Here is a 19,396-nt window from a genome sequence, read left to right on the forward strand (position 1 = left end):
ACTTAAAAAAATTTCAAAACAAAAAGTTGTTAAAAAAATAAAAAGAATTTTTTTTCATTTCTCAGCTAATTGGAAAGTGAAACTAATATTAAGCAGAACACTGTATGCCCTAAACATTATACAGTCAAGGTTTTTCTAAATTTTTAAAAATCAACATAATAAACATCTCTGAAGTTGTAGCAACTGAGAATGTGTCAATGAAGCAAGCAAAATTAGATGTATCAAAGTGCCACCAGACATTTGATTTGTACCTTACCAAGCTGGTGATGTCTGATGTAATGGAAAAAACATCACTGGATATTAGCATACCTCAGTCTGTGAAATGATGGGAGTGGACCTAAATAATTTCTATGATTCTTCCTAGGTCTTAAATTTTGGAGTTTTATAGATGACTCTAATGAATTTTTTTCTAAGCTTAAAATAAGAGATGACAGTTGTCCATGGGTGAGGTCCAATGACTCAGAATAATGGTTATTAAACATTATACCTTAAAATATACCAATTAAATAAAACCTAGCCACTGGATAAAAATTAATCTCTTCCCACCCTAAGTTTCCTTCAGCACTTTTGCTTATAACTCTCTTATTGTACTTAACAGATTTTGTCTTGTACTGTAGTTATTTTTGTATATATTTGCCCAATTAGATTACCCTCAGGAAAGAGAACCATTTCTCCCAAAGTACAGTGTCTTCCAACTTGAAGTTGATTAATAAATGTTTTTAAATTCTTGGTCACAATATTATTAAAATGAATAGTTCTCTTGTTTTCACCTCTCTGGTTTTCACAATTTTAAAAACCACAGTATCATACAGGAATAATATTTATCACTCAAGGATTCTTCACATGAGGTCATATGCAGAAATACTCTTGCTATTAAAACACGGCATGGTAAAAACTTAACTCAGCCTTTCTCTTTGGATTCCAACTTATTTTTTTTTCTTATGGTTGGGGATTAGCTTCTTACCAATCATATCCTTTAATATTAATTCCTTTCCTTTTTTTTTTTTCCAGTTATTTAAGGCTATGTCATGGATCCCACTACTTTCATTCATAGTCACTTTACTACCTTGACTACTATACTCTTTCTTATAAAAAGAGTTGCTGCTATGAACATGATAACTTTCCCCAGCAAGGACTCCTCTGGGTCTTCAAAGTCTTCCAAATAAACATAATATTATTTCTCTATCAATGCCTGTTTTGTCTATTTTTCCTAGTCCTCCGTCATTTTCTCTATAAGGACAAATCTTACTGTTCTCCCTTTTTGTATACTGTACTTATAAATTCTCTCAATATAACTAAAGACATTTGAAATATTTCATTATTTGAAAAAATACTTTCTGATAAAAAATACGATTTAGAATTTTAAACTAATGGTATAGGGAAAACAATCGTGATTGAAAATAAGTATAGATCCCTTCCTCAAATCAGGCAAAACATTTCAGATAGATCAATGTTTACATTAAAAATAAAAAAAGAAACTTTGAAAGTATAAGAGTGGGGAAGACCTTTCTAAACAGTGTACCAATGAAGAAATAAAGGTTTGACAGCTTTCTTAAATAAGATTTTCTAAATTTTATCAGTAAAAATAGATCAAAACACCATAAATAACATGGAAAATAGACGACAAACTAGGAAAAAATATTCAGAACACAGATAAAAGAGTTCATATCCTTAATACATTAAGAGTTCATTCAAATCAATAACAAAATAATAAATACTTCAATAGAAGTATTGATAAGTAGTTCAATAGGACAGGCCATGATGATAAAAGGCAAAAGAGAAGTAGTACAAACAGCCACTAAACATAATTTTTAAATGTTCAGTCCCATCAGCAGTCCCATATATGCAAAATAAGACAGCAATTAGATATCAGGGCTTTTCCCCTATAAAATAATGAAAGATTATTTTTAAAATAATAATAACGACTGTTGTTCACTTCCAGGAAAATGGCATTCTCATAGACTGTTAATCGGAATATAGATTCACACAATCTTTCTGGAAAGTAATTGGACAATGTGATCTCAAAGACTAACATGTGCTTCCATTTGAACTATAAATTATTTTCTTCTTTATTTAGCATATATAATTATAAAGAACAGTTTCAGAAGCAAAAGTGGTTAATGCTGCATTATTGCAGGGGATCAAAATAAAAAGTACAGCCAAAATCGTTCAAGAGTGGAATACCAATTTAAATAAACAATCACATATCTACTAAACGTTGTCAAAGACTTCAAATGTTCCAAATGTTGAGAACTGACTATAAAGTGTCATAAGTAGTGTAATACAATTTTTTTTATATACACATGCCTCTGTATACATAGAAAAAATACTGGAAATATATACATCAAAGTATTAACAGTGGTTTATAGGTTTTTTTGTTTCCTTCTTTTTGCTTATCTGCCTATCACATGATCATCTAAAAAAAACCTATCTGCTTTCTTCACACTCGTAAAGTTTTACTGAATTCAGTAGCCTTTCTATGATTTCTATCTCTATAATACCAATGTCAACTGGGAATCTCAGATGGTCCCTGATGTTTGACGGTTTGACCTAATGATTTTTCAACTTTACATGATAAGAAAGCAATACACATTTAGTAGAAACTACTTGAATTTTTGAATTTTAACCTTTTCCTACCCTAGCAATATGAGGTACAATAGTATCTCTAGATGTTGGGCAGCAACAGCAATCTGCAGCTCCCAGTCAGCTACGCTATCATGAGCGTAAATGACCAATACTCTACAGTGTACTGTGTTGCCAGATGATTTTGCCCAATGGTAGTGTTCTGAGCACATTTACGGTGCACTGGGCTATGCTATGATGTTCAGTAGGTTAGGTGAAGTAAATGCATTTCAACTTGCAATGTTTTCAACTTTGTATAGGTTTATCAGGATGTAATCCCACCACAAGTCAAGCATATATAACCATTTTGAAGAATTAAAATTTCCTTTTCCATAGTCTGAATTCAAAAGACTAAAGAAGAAATTAAAAAGCAACTAAGAGAAGTAGGCTAATAATGAGTAATATTTTAAGTATCTACATTTAGGTCTTTAAAAAAAACCCATCAGACTAAACTTTCTATTTTTCCCATATTCTCTGTATCTTTTCTTTTGAATTCCATTCCCCATCTCCAAACTTAAGTAAGTAACTTCACTTCAGAACTACATAAGGAGATAGAAAGCTTAATTTTAATAGTGTACATCAATATGTCAATTATCCTTAAACTGTTAAAAAACAAAAACAAACCTCCAATGTAATACTCAAACACACAACTTATGGGATGAAATGACCAACAACTGAAATCTTTAAGGACACTGGACATTTAAACTTTTAAGCTTAAACAAATGAAAAAGCTTAGGCCAAAATGGAATAGGGTGTGACCAGGCTCACTCAGATGCCTTCACAGGCTGATCAAATGCCAAATATACTACTTAAGATCCTGAATGTCAGAGAATTAACGTAATAGACTGAGACTCACAATGACATGAAAATATGCTGAAGTTACTGGAAACATAGAAAGGGACAAAATTGGCCCATGGATTTTGAGCATCGCATTGCTCTACAGTTTCTCAGTTTCTCTTGAGATAAATTTATAAAAATAATTGGCAGAAAAGAGGAATGTGAAAAAAATTTAATAACTTGTCTTTGTAACACATATGATAGGTCACATTTTGATACTTTCCCATGTCTGGATTTTAAGAGATTAGTTATATGGTGATAACATTTTGAAAAGAACTCAATGTAAAATTGCAAAAGTCTTAGAACAAAAACTATCACTCTAGATTCCTTGTGCTTCTTATTTGGTTGCCAATACCCTACACCTCTTCAAGGGACTAGTAGTGAGTATCACCTTTAAGATTCAAATGTTCAGGCAGACACTGACTTTAAATAATGGAAGTTCAAAAGGCATTATTGCTTTGGAACAAGAAATGCACCTTGAACAAGAAATGCACCTTGGTTTAAACGTTATTTGGGACATGGATTATTTATGTATTTTAACTTCCATGTTTATGTAGCTCCACTCTAGTCATTTTTAGAGAAGCTTCATTATAAAGTTTTTCTCTCCAGTTGTAGAGAGTTTGGAACATACAAATTCATTTGCTTATTCTCTTTTGCCTTATCAGTTTCATGTTGGGATGATTAATTAACCAGGAAGATAACAGTTCATCCAATTTCTCAAACAAGAATGAAATGCCAATCACACATGTTTTCTCTTGCAGTTTTCAATCAGGCAAAATCTCTACAAAGATTACTTTTGTCGTGATCAACTCAACATCACATAATCATCTTGAGCCTTTTGCTCAATCAAGAAACATTTCTGTTCTTACAGATTATAATGTGTGGCTCATTGAGAGCAGGTCTCATTTAAAACCATCATTAAAATGAATGGGCTCTCTCCTTGTTAATCCCTTTACAGTGAGTTGTATTGCTGCATTAATCAACAGAAAGAGACTGAAGTATACCTCTATGCCTGTACCCAACACTCAGAATATAGGATGCCTTACAACAACAGAACTTTAAACTGGGTCAGCAAATTAAAGCCCTGATATTCTATTCCAGAGTATTTCTAAACCATTTTAAAAGTCTTTAGGTCTTGGCTGGGCACGGTGGCTCATGCCTGTAATCCCAGCACTTTGGGAGGCCGAGGCGGGCGGATCACGAGGTGATCCTGGCTAACACAGTGAAACCCCGTCTCTACTAAAAATACAAAAAATTTAGCCGGGTGTGGTGGTGGGCGCCTGTAGTCCCAGGTACTTGGGAGGCTGAGGCAGGAGAATGGCATGAACCCTGGAGGCAGAGCTTGCAGTAAGCCGAGATCGCGCCACTGCACTCCAGCCTGGGCGACAGAGCGAGACTCCGTCTCAAAAAAAAAAAAAAAAAAAAAAAAAAAAAAGAGGTCTTTAGATCTTTAGGACAAATATGTAGAAAAGACAGGAGTGTAAATAAATCACTATATTTTATTACATCTAAGACTTTTTTTTTATGTGCCATTAAGAGAGGGGAAAAATGTCAATTATTATAGTAAGACACCATTAGCTGCAAGTTGAATCCTAATTTCAGAGATGCTAAAATGTGAAAAGATGTGTGCTTTAGAATTGATGAAATATGATCATTTCCAGCATTGTGTCAGAACAAAATTCATTGAAGTTCCTGCTTTAAAGAAGTTAATGACTGAAATCTATGGATAAATAGGAATCTTTGCTCACTAAAAGAGACATCAAAATTCCTCCCTCTCAGGATGTTTTCTACCTTTTTTCAGCCTAATTTATTCTCATCATATAAATATATTTCCAAACATGAATACATAATGTTTTTCTCTTTGCACCTGAAGAAAATAATTCTCATTTCTTTCCCTTACTTACTCAGGTGGGCAGGGCTCAGTGTTGCAGGCTCTTTGATTTTCAGGTGGCTTACTGTCAGGATCACAGTAATTGTTCTGGACAATGGAGTTGTCATCCAACCTTTTACAGACCACCTCCTGTCTTTGGACACCTTGAGAAAAGGAGGACATCATTAATTGAAGAGAAGTTTACCTTCCATTAAGTTAGGTATGCATAGCTTTCCTCTGTGGGGAATTGACCTCACTGGATCGCTGCCGTCTTATCTGTTCCACATTGGACTGCTTCTCTAAAATGGAGAGAAGACCTGGTCATTATACTGAAATTTTAGGCAAAGTTATTTTTCTCATATTTAGAAACGTAACTATTTCAAGTCCAGAAAAGAAACTATTGGTAATCTTAAACAATTTTATTCACATTTGTAAATTCTTCTTCGTGCTTCCCTTAACAAACAAACAAAACAACAGATTACAATTTCCCAAAATAATATTATCAAATAAAATGTACAAATATGCATTTCAATGCAAAACAATGATTGTATATTTATTTAAAAATAGAACAATAGGGACAAATTTACTTTTTGATATTTTGTAGAACAAATCCCATCTATTTAGTTTTTGTTAGGAATACATCACATCCACACATTTCATTTTTTCTTCCGTTTATATATTTATCTCTCTAAAAGCCCATTCATTGTTTAGAAATTAGAGATTGCAGTGGGCCTCTTTTGGACTGTAACCAACTAGTCTGTTTATTCGAACAGAGTTGACCCCTGTTGATTATACCACTGTCAAATACATACATACACAGTTCATTCAAATATTAATTTATCTCATTTTAAAAAATTAGTCTATGTGATATGTTTACCACAGCTAAAAATATTCTCATACAGTTTATAAAATATTAAATATATGTCAATTATTGGCAAAGATATTCACCATAACTTGCTCACATTTCACAAAATATAAAGACACACACAAACACACACTCGTATTTGTAAATGTTCCTGATGAACAGATTTTATGTATACTCATTTTCTCTTTAGTGTCAAGGAAACAAAAGAAGCAGACAGGTATATCAAGATATCAAAGAGAAACACGTCAAACTACAAGACAATGCTAAATGTTTCAGATCATATAGCGGTAACAGGTTACTCCTGGCAATAGAAATAAAAGCACACACTAAGCTATTCCCCCACTCACCCACCCCATCTCTATAAACAGGTAGGCTAAATTACCCAGAAAGAGTTGTAAAAGCAGCATTAGCAGTATCCAGGAAACCACAGCTTCACACCTAGCTAATCCCACACAATCCTTCAGTTGTTTTTCTTTTTTTTTTCCCAGTTGTTTCAAGTAATAATGCCCTAAAAAAACAGTGTGATCACAAATTAGGGAAATATATGTGAAACAGGATCATTCAGTGAAAGAAACTGTCACCTAAAGAGCTACACACCAAATGCTTCCCCCAAGTTCCCCTAAATCATAGAAATTCTGCAGGTGGGAGTGCCTCCGTTATCATGTTATGCACACCTACCTTTAACTAAGCCCTTTAAATTTAAAGACTGACAGGGCAAACTATTAAATCCACCAAGCTCATGACACTTAAATCCTGTAGCTTCCATGACAGTGGTGAGCAGTTAGTCTTTTTTATTGCTTGCACTGACCCAGGGCTCTTGCTGATCACCTTCTGCAACCATTTTTTATGTTTTCCTAAACTTAGGGGTCTTAAACATAGTCAAACAACTTACTGGCAAAATGTCCTAGAGTATGTATTGTATTCCTTCCCTCCCAACCCCTAAAATAAGCCAAACAATGAAGTTTATGTGACGACAACAGTTTGGAATTTTTTAACTATTAAACTTTAGAATTTTTGAGGGAAGAATGATTCACATCAGGCATAGTTGTGATCCATTCACAGATGTTCCATGATATTCATCGGATATCTCCCCATTGTGTCATTCCAGTGGGCAGATAACTAGGTCCATGTGGTCCACCTAGACAGATACCTCTACCATTAGTCATAGGAGTCAACTACCAACTCCAACAGTGGCTCAGATTATCCATCCATCCTGGTTCAATATTTTGCCTCTATCAGGGACAGCAGGGGATTTTTTTTTATTGGTTAGTGTGATTATTTTTTTTTAAGTCATTCAAACATGACTATACTTGAAACAAGAACACTGGCATCCAAAACATATCTTGGTTATTTCTCAGGAAGGAATAAACATTCTCAACACTACAAAATACAACTGATCTGGTTTTGTTTCAGTGGCAGAAACATTAATTCAGTTTCCTTGACTTGTAGAAACTGAATTAAGTCAAGATAAAATTCTTCTTTCTCTAACTTAACCCTAGAAATGTTGTTTGGCTATAATTACATTTGTTTTCAAAAGTAGCCTTTATTGCAAAAGCAGGGCCTCTGCAATTTGAATCATAGATGAGATATGAGTTAGTAGAGCTGTGATTTATATTTCATTTTATGATAAATTCTAACAATGTATGTATCTTGAAAAAAATTTGGTACATAATATTTGTTATCAAAAATTTGGAAAATTACACAAAACCACAAGGAAGAAATAAAACTGACCCATAGTCCAATATTTTGTTTCAGACCCCTTTAATTTCAGGGCTATTTTGCTCTTTAGTGGGATCCAGTAATTAGTTTAAAAATTACATGTATACCCAAACTAAAACTGTCAGCTAAATGTAGTTGGCAGGTCATTCATTCATTTACTCATTCATTCATTCATTCAACAGAGATAGTTACTAAACCAAAGCATTGTGTTTATGAGATATAAACACAGTATCTCTTGGGAGATATTGGGCTAAGTGCTAAGAATTATGAATTGACTTAATTTTGATCATGCCTTCCTTCCATACTTCTTAAAAACTGGGAATCAAGAGTACTTAGGTGTTCATTTTAGCTTCATGATTTCAGAATGCTATTTTTTATGAAGTAAAAATTAAAGTCCTTGAATAGACAGCTGAAATTGCTCTATATTTTATGAAGATGCATGTTTTCCTTACATTTGTCTTTTATTAATTTTCTTCTAGAATGTTATATTAGACAGTGTGGTATTTCACACTCAAGAATTGACTATATCAGTAATCTATTCCAAATCTTCCTACAACACTGTACTATCTTCCTCCAACAGCATACAAAGCTCCTTCCAACTATTACTCCCACACTTGGCAGGTTTACAGATTTTTTTTTCTTTTTAAGTCAGTAGCAACAGGATAACTCTATAAACCAAGGCATCTAAATGAATGGATTTTTAAACACATACTTTTGAATTAAGGAAAATGCAGCTTTTAACTTTAGAAAGTAGAAAATACAGATCAACTGGAAATAATCTAAACTAAGTCCACAAGAGAAATGATTGAGTTTAGATTCTTTTTATATGATCAAGCCTCTTGTACATAACTTCTTTTAAAGTAGTCTGTAAAACATTGCTAAGATGTTGATTTTAAACCCGGTTGGGAATAATTACATCCAGTTACACGAAACCACGATGCTTTCAAATCTAAAGACTTATAGTTTATAACCAAAACATAAAATGTCCACATGACCAGTCAGTGTGTACCTAATCAAAAACAAAATTCTAGTGGCTTAGTGTCCAGATCCCCTGGAAATAAGCAGATGTTCTGCAGAATTTAATAAAAATACACTAATTGTATTTTATTCTTAAACACCTAAAGTTACTGGCATGCAAACTGTATGTATATGTTTTTTTAATGCAATCCTTCCTCCATGCTTAAAAAAAGTAATGGCTTCATATTACGAAAGTTAATTATAAGAGATGATATTGCCAATATATATTTACTTTAAACCCTCTACAAAAGGTATATTCTGTTTAGAGACTTTTAATTTGCTTATCTTTTTATTCTTTGATACTAAAGATTCAAATATGATGGTCCTTACCACAGAAATGTAACCCTCACTTTTTGTCCATAAGTTTAAATGTCAGATCCTATATTTAATTTTCTGCCAATAGTTCAAAGTTAAAGATCTATTTTCCCATCAAAGGTTCTTTTATACAATGGGAAGAAGGCATATTCCACTTGAATCACTGCTCTAGCTACATATCAAGAAATGGCTTTAATGGCATTTTTATACAGTATGTACCAAAGGAAAAGGTGCAAGAAGCCCATCAAATGGCAAATGAGTCCTGGATGGAAACCATCTGCTGTTCTTACTCTAGGGGGTGGTGATGGTTCAAGTGAGTCCCAGTCTGAGCAAAGAGTTCAGAGACCATCGCTCTTCTTCATTTCTTCCCTCCATTCCAGTCCCTCTACTCCTCTTATTAGCTGCCCAATGTTCTCATGTGTTCCTATCTTTCTCTTCTTTCAGAGAATTAAATAATTTTGTAAACTCATTTGTAACATAGTATTTGGCAATATATTGCTTTTCTCAGGGCAATTTACCATCTTAAAAGTAGAAAGAAGGCACTCAAGGTACAGAAATTACAACTTGAATTTAACTTGAAAGGGTGACATGTGTTAAACCAAGAAGGATGGGTCGGGGGTGGTTAAGGGCAGGAGAAAGACTTTCTAAGTCTTCTCAACTCTACTCATCAGTCCCATCATTTCAGTGATAGACCATGTAATGGATAAATGGGCATTCTACAACCTCCTGTGAATGAGTCAACAATAAAAAGAAAGAAATATAAATGTATTCTTGGAATTGATGGGCTAACCAACATCTAAATAATTTAACCTAGTGACATAGCACATCATATCTACCCAAGAAACAGTTTTCTGAAGAGAAGGAGGTAACATTAAAAAGTCAGAGCTTGTACTAAAAATGTGTCTGGTGGCTAAGGCAACAATTTGCTTAGCCACAGCATCCATAGTAGCTAGCAACCAAGACAACACTATATAACTACAGTATACAGAGCATATGGCCAGCAATATTAATTTAATTTAAATCTTTAATGCAGATAGCATCCAAAGAGTGACAAGTGCCAGGAAAAAAAATGTCTCTCCGCTCTGCCTTTCACTGCTGGAATCTGGCTGTTGTGCCGTGTGATTGTTGGCCAGACACAAGCATTTGCAGGGCAGAGCAAAGCCCATCTGCCTTGGATCTAACAGCTGGAACCCAGGGTACCAATCAACTCCACTCATATGGTTCCTTCTTCTGAAGAGCCTCCTGCTAGTTTTTATCTTTCAAAGGCTTCCCTTCTCTTTTCAGTGTCTTTCCTTCTGTCCTTTTCAGTGTATTTCCTTCTGTCCTAAGCAAAACTGGATGTCCTAAGTAAACAAAGGATGATCAAAAGCAAAATGTAGCTCTAAAAATATTGTATTTTTCTAGAACAACTGTGTTTAGTAATGGTAAGGTAGGGTGGAACATACGTATACTGAGCTTATCCCTGGAGAGAATTCCTATTACTCCTTAGCTATTAAGAGTAATCTTTTCCATATAAAGTATCTAAGTTTTTAACTAATTTAGTTCCTACTATGTCTAATGTATACTTTTTTAGTACTATAAGGGAGAAAGTTACTGAGTAAGACAGTCTTGACCTCAATGAGATTACACTAAAATGGGGGTGGGGTGGAACAGGGCAAGTACCATTATAATTATATTACATGATGGAAGATATCTAATAAAATAGTGCATTTTCAGGTCTAATATTTTTAGTTTATAGTTTCCCCATTTTATCTTATTACTGTCTGATTTCTCTTTTCCTGATCCTCACTGATCTGAAGAACTCTTTTCATAGCCAAATTTCATAGCCAAACTCTTTTCATAGCCAAATGATATTACCTTTCACTTTATCTTGTTCCTTTGTTTTTTCTCATCCCAAATTCTGCCATGTTTAGTTACCTCTTTTTGACTTCTAAGTGGTTTAGGTAAATGACCTAAGGCAAGTTTTCATTCTTCTTTGTAAAATGAGGTAATCAAATACATAAAGATAATTTAGAATGCTTCTTCCAGATCCAAACTTCTATAAAAGTTGCCTTCTCTTCTCTTCCTCCACATTTCAATTGTTCAACATTTTTTTCCACCAATTCTCTCTCCCTTATGTGTCTGCTTTTCCTCTGTATTCTACAGAGTAAGTCTAGAAAACAGGCATGTTTCTTTTCATTTGGTTTTGCAGTCTTGTTTCAAGTGCCTAAGTTTGTACCAGTGCGAGGTACATGTCAAAGGGGTTACACATGTCAAGAGGCAGAATACTAACTAGAAATAGGAAATTGTGAAAGGCAAGTTTCCTAATATAAAGAATTAAATCATGCTGGTATACCCAGCATGGGTGTACATGCTCACACCTGTAATCTCAGCAACTCGGGAGGCTGAGGCAGGAGGATCACTTGAGGCCAGGAGTTCTAGGCTGCAGTGGGCTATTACTGTGCAACTGCACTCCAGCCTGGGCAACATAGAAAGACCTGTCTCTAGAAAAAAGAAAGGATTAGTTATATTATACTAGAAAGTCATCTCCATGACCTTAAGTAAGAGCTTGTTTTTGGTATTTTATTTAAATTTTAGAGGAATATTGTTGAGAGTACAAAGGCCTTGAGCTTCTTCCACACAGTGTAATGTATTTATCATCAATAGACAGGCTTTTCTTTTAAACATATATAAAATCCCTTTCTAGGAACCAAATCTTGAAATATTTCAAATTTGAGTTAAAATAAGGATATAATCATATACAAACTGTATAGCTTTTAAACTAAAAATCTTCATTTTCTTCAACTAAAGATGGAAATAGTAATATCATAAGTTCCCACAAAATCAGGATGATCATGCTTACCATAATAAAAGGCTTTATTTTTAAAAGGCTTTGTTTTTTCCAAAAGTATTTTATGCATTCAAACATGTAAAGATGAATAATGTTATGACTGTTAAAAATACTATTTTGGAAAGAATTTTTGTGAAGTGAAACATGACCTGTGATATATAGATCATTAATACAATAGGAATGCACTCAAACTGTGGTTTCAGATTCACCCAAGTTTTTCAGTGACTGAATATGTATCCAAACCCTGCTCGTGTTAGGGAAGAATATAATCACTAAAGCAACACAAATGATGAAAGAGGACTGATGAAATGATGAAACAGTACTAGGAGAATATTTTGGCTTAGCAGAGATTTCTTGCCTTCAGTTATAAATCTTCACATTAGAGAAAATGCAATCCACAACATGCAGAAGTAAACAGCAAAACATGTCAAGATTATCAAAATAACTCTTCATATGTAAGACTTTAAGCTTAAGTTATATTGAAAATATGCAGGATAATTCAAAGAATTTTTGTAAAAGTAGTTATATAGGAGAAGCCATATGCTTAAGGAAAAAAGATAAATGAAAATTATTATAGATAAATAAATGAACACACATATTAGCTTCCAGAAGTGTGAACCAACCACGAACATGAGTTTATATAGAAGAGATACTCTGCAATCTCAAGAGTCAAGTTATATAAGAACTAACCCAGTAAGGTTAATGATTACAGAGCCTAGGATCTTGGGGGCTGTGATGTTCACAGGTGCCCTGTTATGATGCTGGGTACAGCTAATCCCAGGTTAAAGGACACTCTTCCTTCACAACATTGAAAGTGACCTGAGAGGAGGGAATTGTGGGAGAGAGTGAATAGGGGGATGTCATGGTTAATGCAGTGACAGACCATTGTCTAGTCCGATAAATATATTATTTTTCAAAGACCAAAGTGAAAACTAGGGAATAATGATCAACAAAGCTGAATGCAAACCTTTGTTCTTCCTAAACTCAAGTCATTTTTTTATAGGGGATTTGTATTATTTTAAAAATCTCAGTGATAGGTTTTATATCTACGTTTGATATATACAGGACTCAAATGTAAAAGGACCTTCATGATTTCAAAAAATAATAGTACATTGTACAACCCCACACAGAAACTATCTTTCACAGGGAATTTTTCTTTAAAACTAACTATATAATTATGTTTCTTCAGAGGGAAATGAATGGCATTGAATAAAGTGCTTTTAACTATTCAAACTAAAGTTTCCCTCTGTAATCTTTTATTTAACTCTGAAAATAACTTCTGGATTGGTAACTCCTAAGTGAAAGATAAGCACATTTAGTTATAAGATTCAACCTTTTTTATGTCTTTCGCACTTAATTTCAATCAAGTCTATTTTGAATCTTGAAAAAAAAAAACAACAACTGGACTTTGTTTTCCTATGCTCCATTTGGGGCTCCTCTGCTTTGAGTTTCTGTGAAAGTTACAGTGAATGTGTCCTTTATAAGCTGCAATACAAGTGTTAGTCATTATTTTTGTTATTACGTCCGTAAAACATAAGTCTCAGAACCCTTGTTTGTTTGAAGCACATTCTGTTAGTTCACTAATAATGTGAATTAACCTCTTAGTGATATTAAATGTGTTAGACATCTTAGAATTGACAAAAAATTAAAAGGACATCTCTGAAAATGTAAAGCATTTGTCTCTGTTTTATCTGGTACTTTGAGAACTGTTCTCTTTTAGTCAGCTATTAGTACTGGCCTAAAGACTGTACTACATATTTTCTAATAATTACTTTTTTAAATAATTTAAAAACTGTCATTTTAGAATGGACTTACTATACTTTTAAGTCAACATTATGCTTTGTTGTATCATTCCTGAAATATATAACATGAACAAACAACATTTCCATAGAAACAATGTAGAAATACCCAACTTTTTAAAGGGGCCAAGGCATGACAGATTCGTTAAAAGTAATCTGAAAATTGTGTTATTAATAAATGCAATAGTATAGGTTATCACATAAACTTGTTAGCTGTCAGGAAAGAAGTTGCTAGCAATTTCTCCTTTAAATATATAGTTCCTTCTTTCCTTCATTTCTTTTTTTCCTTTGCTTTAATCACCCACTATTCTTACCCCAAACTAACAGAGACAGAGGAAGGAAACATATTCAGGAGGATGCATCGGAAGGAATATAGATATGAGAAATTTACATATTATTCAAAACCTCTAGTCTCTTAGCTAGAAGTACAGAAGAGTCTCCAGTTTTAAATTCTGAACATCACCAGGGCCCTGAATAATGAGCAGCTTATATGCATTTATTTTCTCTTCTGAAATGAAATTCAACATCTAGTAAAAGGAAGTTAGGTGACATTTTTAATCCAACTTTAATGATACTCATTTTACAAATCAGGGGTTCTCAAACTTTTTCAGTTCACAGTATCCTTAGTATCTCTAATTTTAAAAATAACATCCCCAAGACAGAAAAAAAAAGACTAAGAATTTTACTTGTAGTTAGTTCCAAATAACTTCTTTGTAATGATTTGTATGCTGTAAGATCAATATCGCTATGTTTCCCCTGAAAATGTACAATGTTCTGCAGTGCCCTTGGGCACCTTTGTACAGTTTGAAAAACGTGGTCCCACATCAGGAAAATTCAAAATAGTAGTTGGAAATCATATAAATGGTCTTAAAAATCTCAAAGAGTAGAAACCAGCCACAACATGTATAAGAATCCAGATGATTTTGGGAGGCTGAGGCAGGTGGATTGCCTGGGTCAGGAGTTCGAGACCAGTCTGGCCAACATGTGAAACCCCGTCTCTACTAAAAATACAAAAAAATCAGCCGGGCATGGTGGCATGCGCCTGTAATTCCAGCTACTCGGGAGTCTGAGGCAGGGGAATTGCTTGAACCAGGAAGGTGGAAGTTGCAGTGAGCCATGATCGTGCCACTGCACTCCAGCCTGGGCAACAGAGCCAGACTCCATCTCAAAAAAAAAAAAAAAAAAAAAGAATCAGGTAAAGACTCAAAAAGTAAAATAAAAAGAATTTGTCCTAGCTCAAAAAAAAGAAAGACATAAATATCTTCTATGTTTATATGCTGTTTTTTTTCTCTCTCTCTCTCTCTCTCACACACACACACACACACACACACACACAAATACACACACACACAGACTCATACATTAGGCTTAAAATGACATTCAGGGAAGAAAAAGTATAATAAAAGAAGCATCAAACATACAAATAAAATTAGACTATGTAAATGTAAATGTAAAAGTAATGATAGCATTTTAAATAGTCAATGATGATTGATCAGAAACATTCCTGTATAATCATTTAGTATATGTAAAATAAAATCTGTGCTCTTTGATCTTCAAACAAAACAAAAAATATCTCTAACAGTAAACTGTCTCCTTCCTAACTCCTCAGTAATCTAAGCATAGCTTTATCTCTTCCCCCAAAGAACTGCAAAGCAATGTTTGGCAGAGAGATGCTTTTGTGTATTAGCAGAAACTTTGGTACACAATTTTGCACTTCTATTCAAAGAAGAAGAAAGAAAAATCTAGGAAAAAAAATTGGAGAAAGTTATCAGGAGTGTCAATAGAGCCAATGGCAGGACAGACTGTATATTTAGAGCATAAATATAAAATTATAATAAATATAAAATATCGTATGTATTTCTGACATTTCTTTGTACTGCAAATAAACTATTCTTAAGGTTTATTTTCTAACAGAACAGGTACAAAGTTAAATACAACACTATAGCATCAATTATCAGTTAATGGGCTTTGGAAGGTTTCACTTTAAAGCCTAAGCATTGTATAATATTAAATAAGAGGAGGGGATGGGAGTGAAATGAGAATGGTATGAACAGAGGGAAATGAGAACACACCCAGAAAAGTAGGGTAGAAAATTATCATGAATATTGCTGCATTCTGCAAAGATTCATTCTCTTAAAGAAAGTAACTTCCTAAAAAATGAAGGTCTTCTCTGATTAGAACTGTAATTTAAAAGAAAACAAATTGTATCAGTGTTCATAATAACTGAGTTCAAACAGGGGCCATATGCCTCTTCTGTTCTGACTTGTGCATCTAAATTAAAGTTGGTTGAATACCCGACCATCTACTCATTTTAGCTCTGTATCAGATAAACTTGAAATCAGAATAAAGAGCTTTGGGAAATCTGTTTAGCACAATTTCAGTCAGTTTTAAAAGCATTTATTACATTAATTGGATGTTTATAAATGATCCACCAAGTGAAGGAAAACTGTAAATATATAGGCATGCCCAAGGCCAATGGCCATATTAAACAAAATTATGAAATTAAGTGGCATGCTATTCCTTCTTTCATTCCCTTCTCTGATGCTCCTCTCTACTTTCCCATCCCAGATACTCATTCCTAAGTCTCATAACCTTAGAATTCAACTAGTAGCCACTTAAAAACAGAGATCTGTGTTAGTAATGCTCCCAGAGGTACTTGCATCTGAATGTTAATTTTTTGAAGACTAAAACTTTTAATCAGTTTCAAAAGCAGTACTTCTCAACCGGGGCTGTATGTTAGAATTACCTATGGAACTTTTCAAAGCCTGATGTCCAGGCCACACCCCCAGCCAATTAAAGAAGACTCTCTGGGGGTGGGGACAAAGTATCATCATTGTTTAAAGTTCTCCTTGGGTATTCTATTGTGCAGCCAAAGTTAAGAACCATTGCTCTATGGAAGGCATTTGAAAAAATGAAATTTCAAGCTAGTGAAGGAGATCTTTATGGGTGGGGATATATCATGTTTCCCTACTGAGGCAGCCAACTGGTGAAAAAGCTCTTTTTATTACAAAAGAACACCTCATTACTAAATTAAAAAGGTCACTAGAGACTAAGTTGCTAGGTCTTGATTTCAGCAAATTACTTGAATTCTACCTATAAATTATGACTAGTAATTTCATTGCCTATCTTATGGAGCTACTGAAGATGATCAAATGAAATATAGTACCAGAAAATGTTTTAAACTTTACAATTTTATTATTGCATAGCTGAGCAGTAGAACCACCTGTCACCAAAAAGATTAGTGATACTATGGTTACAACTATAATATAGATTATTACCTAAAAGACTTGTCACTCTGTTTAGTGGGCATTTACTTTAGGAAATCTAAGTGTCTACCCCAGAGCCCCGAAGTACAGTTCCTGAGCCAGTGGCACCAGCAACACCTGGAAACTTAGAAATGTAAATTCTTAAAGCCTCCCCTAGACTACTGAATCAGAAATTGTTGGTAGAACATTGCAATCTGTGTCTTAACAAGCCCTTCAGGTAACTCTGATGTGTGCTTAAATTTGAGAACCACATATCTAGCCAAACATCGTAAAAAGAGAATATGTATGAATAAAATCAAAGGATGAATATACAGTATTTGTTATTTGAAACTTTAGAAGTCACAGTGCATAGGTATACTGGCATAAATTACCACTTTTAAAAATCTCCTACAGCTTTGTATTTTAAAACAATACAACTTTCCCTACCCAGACAAGATTCATTAATTAGCAACTGATTATAATCACTAATCCAATGGTAGCATATAAATTCGGGAGTCAGTAAATTATAAAGTATAAATATGTTTGGGTAAGGAATACAGAAACAAATTCTAGTAGCAATGGTTCTGGAAATAGCCATGTTTTTGGGCTTGGATTTCTCTCTGAGGAAGAGTTACAGCAGTATCTCAAAAATCACACATATACTGAAGACAACACCCCATAGCATCTCAATGTTCCTTATGAGGCAAAGGAAGTGTTTCATTACTGACTCAGAGAAAAGACCATTACTTGGACTGAATCACCAATGTTTCCTGTAGCATTAGATTTGTCACTGGATCTGCTAAGCAACAGAAAAAGTCTCAAGCTTCTTATCTTAAAAGATCTCATAAGAGAAAGCTATCATTATTGCTCCCAAACTCAATTAAAGCCCAAAGGTCTGGATATTAATAAAACATATGCAGGAAAATAACAAGTGAGAACACTGAAGGATCTTGTGAGACTGCCACCGAAAGTTCTTTGAGATCTTTCTTGTTTTCTCTTTGCCACTTAAAAGAATTTTGACAGCCTCAAGACACCCAGCACCTCCTTGGAGAGATGAACATGGAGTATCTCAGTTAAGAACTGACTTTATCCCTTTTTCCCACCTAGCACTGCTGGGCCTGCAGGTCTCTGTCAAGTGGCAGACAATAAATAAATAAAAAACACACACCCAAATACAGGTTGATAGCTCACATAACAAACAGAGATACCATTTGTCAGATTGCTTATGCCCATATGTAAGGGGATATGATAGTTTGCACAGCATACGCACATGAACTGCCAAAATATGGTGTGAAGATTGGCCTGACAAATGATGCTGCAGCGTACTATATTGGCCTGCTGCTGGCCCACAGGCTTTTCAATAGGTTTGGCATGGATAAGATCTATGAAGGCCGGCCGGGCGCGGTGGCTCACGCCTGTAATCCCAGCACTTTGGAAGGCCGAGACGGGCGGATCACGAGGTCAGGAGATCGAGACCATCCTGGCTAACACGGTGAAACCCCGTCTCTACTAAAAATACAAAAATTAGCCGGGCATGGTGGCGCGCGCCTGTAGTCCCAGCTACACGGGAGGCTGAGGCAGGAGAATGGCGTGAACCCGGGAGGCGGAGCTTGCAGTGAGTCGAGATCGCGCCACTGCACTCCAGCCTGGGCGACAGAGCGAAACTCCGTCTCAAAAAAAAAAAAAAAAAAAAGATCTATGAAGGCCAAGCGGAGTTGATTGGAGATGAATATAATGTGGAAAGCATTGATGTTCAACCAGGTGTCTTTATCTGCTATCTGGATGCAGGCCTTGCCAGAACTACCACTGGCAATAAAGTTTTTGGCACCCCAAAGGAAGCTATGGATGGAGGCTTGTCTATCCCTCACAGTACCAAACAATTCCCTGGTTATGATTCTGAAAGCAAATAATTTAATGTGGAAGTACACCAGAAGCACATCATGGGCCAGAATGTTTCAGATTACATGTGCTACTTAATGGAGGAAGATGAAGATGCTTACAAGAAACAGTTCTCTCAACACATAAAGAACAGTGTAACTCCAGACATGATGGGGAAGATGTATAAGAAAGCTCTTGCTGCCACAGGAGAGAATCCAGTCTATGAGAAGCCCAAGAAAGAAGTTAAAATGATGAGGTGGAACCATCCCAAAATGTCCCTTATAAAGACAATAGACTTAATGACAGCAAAAACAAAAACAAAAACAAAAAACCAACAAAAAAAGAACTGACTTTAGAATTCATCCTTAGTTTCTGAGTGAAAGGTAAGTAGAAATGACT

General features: G+C 34.6%; 1 protein-coding gene and 1 pseudogene across 12 annotated transcripts in view; one reads left to right on the forward strand and one right to left on the reverse strand.

The window, feature by feature from the left end:
* ADAMTS6 (ADAM metallopeptidase with thrombospondin type 1 motif 6) overlaps positions 1–19,396 on the reverse strand; it is a 333,183-nt gene that overhangs the window by 42,921 nt on the left and 270,866 nt on the right. For 11 of the 12 annotated variants that reach the window (NR_135689.2, XR_007058575.1, XM_011543117.3 and 8 more), the window contains one exon: positions 5,364–5,493. Coding sequence is in view for 10 of the 12 variants with exons in the window: in XM_011543117.3 (XP_011541419.1) it covers positions 5,364–5,493 (130 nt within the window). In the remaining 2 variants the exon portion in view is untranslated. Of the gene's footprint in view, positions 1–5,363; positions 5,494–5,641; positions 6,703–19,396 lie in introns of those variants that run through there. The other variant, XM_047416676.1, reaches the window with a different exon arrangement.
* On the forward strand, positions 18,214–19,278 carry LOC100419140 (ribosomal protein L5 pseudogene; annotated as a pseudogene).

Source organism: Homo sapiens, chromosome 5 (genome assembly GCF_000001405.40).
Source record: "Homo sapiens chromosome 5, GRCh38.p14 Primary Assembly".
Lineage (NCBI taxonomy): Eukaryota > Metazoa > Chordata > Mammalia > Primates > Hominidae > Homo > Homo sapiens.